Source organism: Homo sapiens, chromosome 5 (assembly GCF_000001405.40).
Source record: "Homo sapiens chromosome 5, GRCh38.p14 Primary Assembly".
NCBI classification, from domain to species: domain Eukaryota; kingdom Metazoa; phylum Chordata; class Mammalia; order Primates; family Hominidae; genus Homo; species Homo sapiens.
In genome coordinates, this window is record NC_000005.10 from 167,923,069 (window position 1) to 167,935,225 (window position 12,157).

At 41.2% G+C, this 12,157-nt stretch overlaps 1 protein-coding gene across 33 annotated transcripts in view; it reads left to right on the top strand.

The window, feature by feature from the left end:
- TENM2 (teneurin transmembrane protein 2) overlaps positions 1-12,157 on the top strand; it is a 1,285,129-nt gene that overhangs the window by 944,040 nt on the left and 328,932 nt on the right. For 3 of the 33 annotated variants that reach the window (XM_005265952.3, XM_047417434.1, XM_047417435.1), the window contains exon 1: positions 11,799-11,852. The exons of the other annotated variants lie outside the window; for them this stretch is intronic. The gene's annotated coding sequence lies outside the window, so the exon portion shown is untranslated. Of the gene's footprint in view, positions 1-11,798; positions 11,853-12,157 lie in introns of those variants that run through there. 33 annotated transcript variants of the gene reach the window in all.

A 12,157-nucleotide genomic window follows, 5' to 3' on the forward strand; every position in this document is an offset into this window, starting at 1 on the left:
ATCCCAGCACTTTGGGAGGCCAAGGCAGGTAGATCACCTGAGTTCAGGAGTTTGAGATCAGCCTGGCCAACATGGCAAAACCCCATCTCTACTAAAAATACAAAAAATTAACTGGGAGTGGTGGTGTGTAGTCCCAGCTACTCAGGATGCTGAGGCAAGAGGATCGCTTGAACCCGAGAGGTGGAGGTTGCAGTGAGCTGAGATCGCACCACTGCATTGCAGCCTGGGCAAGAGTAAGACTCTGTCTCCAAAAAAGAAAAAAAAAAAAGCCATGGGAAGAGGTTATAGAATGTTTTCAGGCTTTAATTTATGATCCAAGCACACCACCTGGTCTACCTGCCACCTCTGTGCCAACAGCCTTGTTTGCATCTGAATAGAAATAGGATTAATTGATGCATAAATAATTTAAATTACCTGTATAATCTCAGAACCTCCGCCGCTGAGGTAGAAAGACGGCTTGGGTGACTTCAAATCAGAATTATGTCCCCAGGGGATAGGTTGTCAGATTCAGTCCACACTTGAGGTCCTAGTCATGTCTGGTCTGCATGGTAAATGAATGCCACATGTATTAGCTCATTGATTTCTCCTAGCAGCCCTGTAAAATAAATGTTTTAACTTCCATTTTACAAATAAGCAAATCAGGGCCCTGGATCTATTGAATACTCTGCCCACATAGCTCCCTCCTGCACTTGAAAGTGGGAGAGTTGGGCATTAACTCTCGGGAAGGAAGCCTAGTATCTCCCACTGTCTTATGTTGTCCCACCCAGAACGAACTCTCTTTCCCGGCCATCACCTTTCCGTCAAATGTTCTCAGGGTGCATGTGCGTTGAAATAAAGAGATAAGGTGTGACTGTCAAGCAGAAACATGCCAGAATAAGGCATACATTAAAGTCTATCTTAATGCTTCGCAATTGTGCCCGTGGTGTGAGCATGCTTTTGTGTTTATATGTGTGACCAGTTGTCAGTGCTGACAAAGAGTGTCCAAGTCCCGGGTCTCCTTATTTCTGTTTTCTTATTGCTTAAATAGACCATATGGAGGACAGGATGCTTCATTTTAGCTCAGGGATCTGGTTGCATCGTCTCCCCACATCCAAACATCAGTCCCATATTTGTCTTCATGCATATTCCTTACAGGTGAGCAGAATCAGGTGCAGTTTTTGGCTCTCAGGCCCAGTTAGCTGAATACAGATGACACGCAAAGTGCTCTTGCTGACTCCTCTGTCAGTGTCGTGGGGACCAGCTCTGATCCATTTCTGTCCATGAGCGCTTGCCAGGAACCATTCAGGCGAGTCAATAGGATGCCCATTGATGGGCCAAACGTTGTTTTTCTCGACAGGAGCATGCAGAGTAGGCAAGAATGTCCAACTGGCTGCGTCTGACCTGTCAGCCAATTTTTATCTCTCCAGGCAATAGCTTTAAAATGGTAAAATATCTGGAGTTCATGACATAGGTTAGCACTTCTTTCAACTCAAGGTGGCAGCAGCATGAAGAACGCATTCATCAAAACCAAAGGGACTCCACTGAAATGGATACATCAGAAACATCTGAAACTTATTTCCCAGCACCCTTTGTCAAAGTAAAGTGGGAGGACCACCTGCATTAGAAGCGCCTGGAGAGCTTGAGATTGCACGTCTTGTCTAAAGGTTCCACCTAGAGGCAAAACCTGGGGCTTTAATGAGGTCTGACTTCATGTCTAATCCATATTACAAAATGTGTCTCAAGATCCTCTTTCTACCATGCCTTCAGGTAGAAAGGGAAAAAACACTTAGGTATCATTTCATAAGCCCCAGAATGCCTAAGATTACAAAGACTGAGAACACCAAATACTGGCAGGGATGTAGAGTACCTCACATACTCTACATGTGGTAGGTGTATAAACTGGTACAACCATTTTGGAAAACTGTTTGACATTCTCTTATACAGTTAAACATATACCCAACAATCCCACTCATCAGTATTGACCCCCCAAATAAAAATATATGTTCAACTGTAGATTTATGCGTGAATGTTCATGGCAGGTTTGCTTCTCAGTAACCCCAAGCTGGAAATAAATCAAACGTCTATCCACATGTGAATGAATGAACAGACTTGAATAGCATCATACAATAGAATACTATTCAGCAATACAAAGGAATAATCTACTGACAACTCAACAGCATGGATCAACCTCAAAAATGTTATGCTGAATGAAAGAAGTCAGACATAAAATAGTACTTGCTTATCATTCCATTTATATAAGTTCAAAACATGTAAAACTAACTTATGATGATAGAAATCATGGGTGTGACCTCCAGAGGGTTGAGGATTACCTGGAAAGGGGCACGAGGGAACTTTCTGGAGTGGTGGAAATATTCTCTATCCTGAGAAAGCCGATAGTTACATGGGTATATGTATTTGTCAAAACGTTTCAAATTATATGCTTAAGACACTGCTGGTGGGAGTGTAAATTAGTTCAACCATCATGGAAAGCAATATGGGGATTCCTCAAAGAGTTAAAAGCAGAATTACCATTCAAGCCAGCAATCCCATTACTGGGTATATAACCAGAGGACTATAAATCATTTTATCATAAAGAGGCACGCACATAAATGTTCATCGCAGCACTATTCACAATACCAAAGACATGGAATCAACCTAAATGCCCATTAATGACAGATTGGATTTTTAAAATGTGGTACATATACACCATGGAATACTATGCCGCCATGAGAAGTACAAGATCACGTCTTTTGCAGGGACATGCATGGAGCTGAAGGCCATTATCCTTGGCAAACTAATGCAGGAACAGAAAGCCAAATATCACATGTTCTCACTTATAAGCTGGAGCTAAATGATAAGAACTTATGAACACAACGAAGGAAACAACAGACGCTGGGGTCCACTTGAGGGAATAGGGTGGGAGGAGGGAGAGGAGCAGAGAAGATCACTATTGGGAACTGGGCTTAACGCCTGGGTGATGAAATAATATGTACAACAAACTCCCAAGACACGTGTTTACCTATGTAAAAAACCTTCACGTGTACCCTCAAACCTAAAATGAAAGTTAAAAGAAAAATAAAATAAAAATAAAGTTCAGGGTTGAGTATGATGAACCTGAATACAATTTTTAGAAATAAAAATAGGAAAGAAAGACCCACGTAAAGATGAAAATGAAAATCACCTGTATTCTTCCCACACAGAAATACTCCTCTTTATAAATTTTGTTGAATTCCTCTCTGTTGTTTTGCATATATATATATAATTAAATACTCCTCAACTTGTCATTGTAAAAGAAATGATTTCTATATGTAAACTTCCCCTTAGTTTTTAAAAAGCAGAGTGGGAGAGAAATGGGCATGGCTACAAAAGAGCAACAAGAAAGACCTTCTTAGCCAGGCAAGGTGGCTCATGCCTGTAATTCCAGCACTTTGGGAGGCCAAGGCGGACAGATCACCTGAGGCCAGGAGTTCGAGACCAGCCTGGCCAACATGGGGAAACCCTGTCTCTACTAAAAATCCAAAATAGTAGCTGGGCTTGGTGGCACACACCCGTAATGCTAGCTACTTGGGACGCTGAGGCAGGAGAATCGCTTGAACCCAGGAGGCAGAGGTTGCAGTGAGCTGAGATCACTGCCACTGCACTTCAGCCTGGGTGACAGAGTGAGATTCCACCACACACACACACACACACACACACACACACACACACACACACACAAGACCTTAGTGTCTTAGCGATGGGAGTTTTCTGTATGTTGACTGTGTCGACGTCAATTCCTTAGTTGTGATACTATGATATCATTTTATAAGATGCTAGCTTTGGGGGAAACTGGACAAAGAGTACTTGGCATCTCTCTGTCTTATTTCTTACAACTGCATGTGACACTACAATTATCTCAAATTAAAAACTTTAATTAAAACACAACAAAATTTGGTATTAACAGCTTGGAGTTTGATATTTTTAATTTTTAATTTTTTGGCCAGCTTCAGGTTTTAATTTGGACTTCTTGTAGGTAGCCCATTGTATTCGTGTGTATGCCTGCATTTGTGTGTGTGTGTGCACATACAAGTCTTATGGGAGAGAGAGAAAAACAGAGGTGTTTTAAAATTTACTTTGATTTTTGTTTTGATTTCCCCCACAGATAGGGGCTCATAATTTAAAAGTCACCCTTTCCATCAGGCTGGGTTCATCGGTCTAAAGTCAAAAATCTCTATGCCACTTTCTACTTCTTCCCAATGTTTTATAATTCCAAAGTGTCCTTGCTATACAAGGAGCCTTCTTCTTGAATGTTACATTATTCTACTGACATTGTAGAGTGAATAGTGCCTGTGAGCATCTTGGCCACTGAGTTGGGGGAGATGTCAGCCACATGTGATTCTGCACATCTTCCAGGTAATGCAGCGGTGCTAATGTAGTCTCCTGGATGCAGGGACACCAACGGGGCTTATGTCACTCCCTTGGTGGCCTTAAGTGCATAAATCAATCCTTATTTTTATGCCAATCCATACAGAAGGCTTCCTTGTGTGTGCTGCACATAGGGAGGGAGGGCAGGATGCCTCCTTGAGCAAGTGGTTTGCATTCGAAGAAAGCAAGCAGTATTGGAAACTGGTTTCTGGGTATTTTTGTTTCTTTATTTAAATCCCCTAGGAAGGCTGCTCTGGCTTGGACAGAACCAGAGTGAGGGGACTCATTAGCTGGAGTGAGGTTGGTGTCAGGAAAAAAACAGAGCTCCTGCCTTGGCTTGCCTGAGGTCGCAGGACGCCACCCTTGAGTCTCCATTTCTGGCCCGGGTCCTGAGTGCCTGCCCACCCTAACTCTAAAGCAGACCTAGCCTGGTGGAGCCTGCTATAGAGAGGCTGATGTTCTGAAATACATATGCCAACGATGATAAAGGCATACTGTAGGAAGACTAAATGCTTTTTTGAAATTATTTTGGTAGGGAATCACCAGCATTATCCCAGTTAACCCAACAGTGTCCAGGAGGTGGGTTGATACAGTTTATTTCATTCAGCAAAAAGGAAAATCAGTTAATCACAACTCTTCCTCCTACTCTTCCTCCTCTCCCTCCTTCTTCTCTGGGGTATGGGGGCATAATAACAATGGTAAGACAAATGTAAGAATTATCTTTGTCATTTCTTGTCTCTCCTATTGGCATTTCCTTACCCTCTCTAGGAGCCCCCGAAATGTCTATGGTTCCCATTTCATTCTCACTCCAACATCAAAACCTATCAATTATATTCTCAAGGCCCTCAAAACCCCAAGTCTTAATAGGACATTGGATGACAATGAGTTTAATTTGATAACATGAAGCTTTAGCAAATTTGAAGACATTCATTTCCTCTAGGCCCATAAAGGATATTACTAACGTATCCCAGGCACCATGATAGAGCTGTGGGAGAGAGAGAGATTGTTAGGCAGATAGCTAGAGCTTTGGTCTTCTCAAAATTGCATCCAATGGGAAAACAGCACATTTAATTATTTAGTTATTACTGAAGGAGGGCGATATGCTTATATCATCCCCTGGCACAGAAGAGACACCAAAATATGTGTTAAAAGAATGTGTGGGCCAGGTGTGGTGGCTCACACCTGTAATCCCAGCATTTTGGGAGGCCGAGGCAGGTGGATCACTTGAGGTCAGGAGTTCGAGACCAGCCTGGCAAACGTGGTGAAACCCCATCTCTACTAAAAATACAAAAAAATTAGCTAGATGTGGTGGTGCGTGCCTGTAGTCCCATCTACTCAAGAGGCTGAGGCACAAGAATCACTTGAACCCAGGAGGCAGAGGTTGCAGTGAGCGGAGTTTGCTGCAGTGCACTCCAGCCTGGGTGACAGAGGGAGACCCTGGCTCAAAAAAAAAAAAAAAAAAAAGAAGAAGAAAGAAGGAAAAAGAAAGAAAAAGAAAAGAAATAAAAGAAATAAAGGGAGGAAGGAAGGGAGGGAGGGAAGGAGAGAGAAAGAGAGAAAAAGAAAGAGAAAGGAAAGAAAGAAAGAAAAGAAAAAAGAAAGAAAGAGAGAAAGAAAGAAAGAAAGAAAGAAAGAAAGAAAGAAAGAAAGAAAGAAAGAAAGAAAGAAAGAAAGAAAGAAAAGAAAGAAGGGAGGGAGGGAGGGAAGGAAGGAAAGAAGGAGGGAAGGAAGGAAAAAGGAAGGAAGGAAGGAAAAGGGAAAGGAAGGGAGGGATGGAGGGAGGAAGGCAGGCAGGCAGGAAGAAAGGAAGGAAGGAAGGGAGGGAGGGTGAAGATCAGGATGATTCCTAGACTGTTTAAAGAGCATTTGAGAAATGCCTCTTAGAGGATGTTACAGCCTATCTTGCTTGCCAATGAAATTGCCCTAGTCTAGAAAATTCTGAGTCTATGCAAAAGCATATGAGTTTCTATTATGTTACCATCAGAAGAAGATAGTTCCAGAATACCCTGCACATTCCCTTTTCTTTCCATTTATCAAGTTCTGTTGAAGTCATCTGTCTCTCTTACTAAAGGACCAACTCCTCAAGGATAAGGACTATATTTTAGATATTACCATGTTATTAGCATCACAATCAGGCTCAGGCATACAATAGATGCTTCATAAGTGGCTGTTGAATTTATGGAATATTATTTCTGGGTCATTTTCCAGAAAGATTGCCCATAGAATGGCTTGTCAAAGAAGTGGACTCTGGACCTGAAGGACTCTAAGAGATGTTCCTCAGTGATCTTATTTCAGATTCCCTCGAATTGCTACATGGGAGAGTGGATTCTAATCAAGGTCAGCCATGAGCCACAAGCAAAAATAGAGACTGACAAAATTGGTAGGGGAAGAGTTAGGAAATTTTTCCTTATGGCTCAGGGCTATGTTTTCATGCAAGATAAGAGTTGTTGTGCCTCAGATAGGAGCACAAGTGAGCAGTTCAGCTCTGCCTCTCTGCCTTCTGTCCTCTTCATGCACCAATTCTCAAGACAACACTGTTATCTTGCCAGAAAATACAGCCCAAAGCATTACAGATGTCTGGTACAAGCGGAACCCATATTAATGGTTATTGCTTAAAGAAGAGGCATGCTCAGATCTCTTTACTGCACTCCAGGGAAATCGCAGTTTTTACTTTCTTCCAGAGCAGACCAGAGATGTAAAAAGATCAATTGAGTTTGGCCTATCTCAGATAGAGGGGGCTTTCTTAGAGGTAATTTGAATGGTAGTCGTGACATGGCCTGAGACACATCCTCACAAATACAGATTTCTTAACACTTATTATTTTTTTTAATCAAGGTGCTTAGGGATGCTTAGACATAAATGTTTCAGTTTTCTATAGGAACAAATAAGTTAGTGATAATATATGAAGAATCAATGAAGAATCGTTTTTAAAAAGGCATTTTTAGTGTCTGTTAACAATTGACTTATGGTTTAATTTAAATTAGCTGAGCTTTTCTTAGAATTTTATTTATTTATTTATTTATTTATTTATTTATTTATTAGAGACAGGGTCTCACCCTGTTGCACAGGCTGGAGTGCAATGGCTTGACCATAGCTCACTGTAGCCTTGACCTCCAGGAATTAAATGATCCTCCCACCTCAGCCTCCTGAATAGCTAGGACTACAGGTGCATGCCACTATGCCAGCTATTATTTTATTTTATTTTTATTTTTGTAGAGACAAAGTCTCACTACATTGCCCAGGCTGGTAGAATTTTTTTTAATTCTTAGCCAGTTTCTGACAGAGTGAATCATTTCTAAAGAAGAGAATTTTTTTTTTTTAAAAAAGCATGATTTCTTTTCAAGGTGCCATTAATGGAATTAAACTGAAAATGCATTAAATGACATTTAAACTAGCCCCAAAAGAGTTATTATTTTTGCTCTGATAGAAAATGCCCAATTTCAAACACTTATTAAGCAATGTGTGCACACCGTATAGTTGCATAAGGTTTACAACTTTGTCAGTGCCACCTTTAGCCAAGAGGAGTTATTTGCCTTTAATTCTTACAAAAAAGCAGAAGATCGCAAACTAGTGCAGCACCATTCTGACCATGCCTTATGCTATAAGCTCTGGAAATAAGATAACACCCTTTGCCCCTTGAAAAGCATTGCCATTTGTAATCATCCCAAGTTTCCAACTATAGAGATTGTCAACAGCAAGAGGAACTTTTAAATTGGTTGCCTTTGATGAAAATGAAAATGTTATCCATGAAAAATCTCTAGGAAAATAAATTCAGGCCTGATTCCTGCTATGCAAACAGATATATACAGTATCACCCTGAATCAGCTTTTCTCATCAGAAATGGAGCTACTGTACTTTATTGTGATGTCAGAGATTGAACTGGGGTGAGAATGCACTTCTGATAATTAAGATCATATCGGGTTGGGAAAGCCTAATTCCTAACAGAAGATAAAGAGTCTCCTGATGGTATAGACTCAAAAGGCCTGTAAATTGGGCCATATAATAGTCGTAGAATATTGGGATATGTTTGAAATTCCTTATTGCTGAAATGTGCAGATAATACCAGAAGGGAGAGCACCCCAACCCCATAAACCCATTGGAAAAAAAAAAAAAAAAAAAACAAGAAACATCTCTTGGAGCAGGCAGGTGGTGTATCATATGTTCCCCGGGTGGAGAATGAGCTTCTTGCCTTTAAAAGTAATTGATTTTATAGCGAAACGTGTCAAGAGCACTGGTTTTCAAAATGATTTCGTTCATGTGTGTTGGGAAATAATATATACTGCTAATTGCTTCAGAAATAGCTGGATTATTTAACTTTGGTTTTGATGGGATTTGGAAGGAAGATCTTGAGCCCTTATGCCTTTTCCCTTATCGCAGATTAATAGCTGTTTTGAAGCTGTGTCTACTTCTGCCGTTGCAGAGATGAAATCTGCATCCCCTCACTTTCTTGTGTAGGGCACTAGCTACAGTGTTCTTAGTTCAACCTCTATGAGTGTTCTAAAGATAGCAGTGTGACATTTCTGTTTCAATAAAGCCCAAATAGTAGGCGAGATATAAAACACCAGAGAAGAAAAAAGATATGTTTGCTGATTTCACCGAGGTCCGTATTGAGCTGCCTAGGTGAACAGTTGTAAGTCGGGAGTCTGACTGCAGGTGCAGGAGGGGGAGAGAGTGTTAACTTCTGTGAGGCATCATCTGTTGGCTGCTTAGCAGCACACATCTTGCTGCAATTCCATCGTGAAGGTCTCAGTCCCCTACAGACTAATGGTGAGTGGATGTAACATGGGACCTGCGAAAGGAAAGGTGGTTGTTTCTTGTTCTGTGGCTTTTCTCCTCAGTTGTGTCTTCAATGAGCTAAAGTGAATGTGCTGATTTACAGTCTGTATTTGCTCATGGTAGCTGTCTCATTATTAATTATTCAGGGTCTTCTTCCATCTTACACACATGTGTATGTGTGTTCATATGTATATGTATGTTTGAATGAATGAATGATGAAATAAACAGGCATAATTAGTAGGGTCGAATCGTTGTCCATGGTCAACACTAATTGACCCTACCAGTTATGCCTGTTTGTTTCATCTTTCATTCATTCAAACATACATATAATATACAATAAACATACATACATATGTGTGTAAGACTGAAGGAGACCCTGTTGAATTAATAATGAGACAGTGCCTGTACCTCTTCCTCCAGGAAGCCTTCCCTCATCCGCTAAGCCAAGAATCAGCAATTTTTTTTTCCTATGAAGATCCAGATAGAAAATATTTCAGGCTTCATTTTGTGAGCTGCACGCAGTCTCTATCACATATTCTTCTTTTTCACAATCCTTCAAAAATGTATAAAACATTCTTAGCTCGGCGGCTGAATGTGGTCCGTGGCCATCGTTTGCCCGTTTGCCAACCCCAAAACCAAACCAAGTGTCTCCTGTCTTCCCCACCAACCATAGCAGCCTACATGTTGTATTGAAAAGAGCTAAACTCTAGACTCCTGGAAAGGGGGTTCACATCTTTGCAGCCCCAGCCTAAGCAGTGGCAAGAATTCATTTTTCAAATATAAGGTGATCTCCACCTTCCAATTTTATATTCCACCTGGGAAAACAAGGTCATGTGCAAAAACCAGCGAAGTGACAATTCAGAGCACGGTCAGTGTTCTTGACAGGCCCTTGACAACTTTGACTTTCTGGGCGATAACCCCAAGTAAAGAAATTAGTTTCAAAAACTGCCCTGTAAGCTCTCAAAATGGCTTTTAGAAGGCATTTGCTCTATACTTTGTTAGGCCTTCAGCTAGGTGTTTGTTTGTTCTTTGTTAACACATGACTTTTAAAAATTAAATGTTTTTTTAAACAAAAACTTCAGAGATGAACAGCAAAAATGGTAAGGAGTGTGTGATGTTGTGAGCAGCAGGCCTAGAAACAGCCCAAAGATTGACAGCGTGACCTCAAGGATGGAGACAAAATAAATCAAAAGGAAATACACAGCTATATGACTGCATAGTACAATATGTTTTCTCTTAATAGGTTTTCAGTCATCAATTAAATGTTGAATTATGCTCATTATGCTCTCTTTAAAAATGCAGCCAAATTTAGCTTCCAATTTGGAATTATTATATCCACACAGCATGGTTAAAATAAAAATATCGAGCGTTTGCAGACAGTGAGTTGGGTTTGTCTGGGAAGTTCACGCATTTCGACTAATTCATTTATGAATAAATTGTGAAAAAAAAAAAGGCACATTCATGACCCAGGACCAACTAGAGTGAGGAGCCAGGGATGGGATGGCCTGGGCTGACAATGACTTCCTACCTGAGGCAAGGTACTTAAGCTCTCTAAACCTCAGCCTCCTGATGTGTATAATGGGTATCTCCTTCCACCCCGGTATGGTCACTGTGATGATTAAATACCATTACCTATGTAAAGTTCTTAAAACAAAAGCTGGCAGGTGGTAAAAGTGCTAACAAAAAATTAGCAATTGTTATTATTATCATTATCATCAATATTGTTAATGAATAAGTGTGAAAATGAATTTGACACACACAGTGTGCCAAAGGAGATGACAGAAAAGTGTAAATATGAATATGGCGAAGACATCTAGGATTGCACCTTATAGGAGGTGGTACTTGATCTGGAATTATCAAACCAATTTTAGAAATCAAGTTAAACTGGGACTGATTCCCCCAGAACACATATTATCATGGACAGCTTTCTTTGGTTAGGTTGAGAAAGACTGTTTTGTAGAAGAGTAAAACCTGCCCACATAATATTACATCAGATCCTATTATAAACTTTCAAATGTTTTGAATTTCCAGCACCATATCACATTAATTGTTTTATCCCTAAACTATCAGAGAAAGCAGCATCGTAACAGGGTGGAACAAATGCATTTAACTCAGAAAATAAGACATCCCTCCTCCTAGAAGGGGAAAGATTCCAATTTCCTTTCCCAACATTTTCTTTAAAATTGTTTTGGCTTCAGACCATACCTCATCTTATAGCCAAAATGTAACCTGGTAGGAGTGTAGACATCCCCATTTGTCGTCACCTTTAAAAGCAAGTACTTGAAAGGGTCTGTTTTCCTCTGGAAAACAAGTACCGATGTCAAGCCTAGCCACTGATGTAACACGATGAAAGCTGCTTCAGAGGAAGAAATTGGAACGAGGGAGTTTGGCTGGAGCAATGAGACATGTCGAGAGCCTTTGGGTATTAACCAGACTGGCAGTGTGATCCCTGGGAGGGAAGACAAAGATAGCACTCGCCTGTCTGACTCAGGGCATACCAATATCGCTCGAACCTTCCCGTCTTCCCACAAGGAAACTCGGCTCCAGCCCATTCAGGGCAGCCTTCCAGGGCCTGGCATGTGTGTGCTCAGCATCACGGGCAGCTAGCAAAGACCAGTGCAACGGAGGAGGCTTAGCTTAGTACGCGTTCGGCAGGACGGGTGTGCAGGCTGCACTGCCCTTGAGTCGTCCAGGTAGGCAGAAGGATGGCTTTTATTGACTTTCTGAGACTGGAAGCAAAGAAAGGGGGTGGGAAAGAAAACAGTAGGTGTCATTTTAGTTGTGCCCTCATGAGTGCGAGCGGGAAAGGTCAGAACACCTCAGGGGATGAGGACAGAGCCAGGGCAAGAGTGTTCCCCAGAAAGCTAGACAGCAATGGGACAAGGTACTGCTCTACAAACCGAGAGAGAAACAGAGGCGTGAAAAGAGCCGTTAGTGCAATGGAGTGTCGTGAATTATCTGTCAGTGCCGATGGCACTCTTGTTAGGATTCTCACACT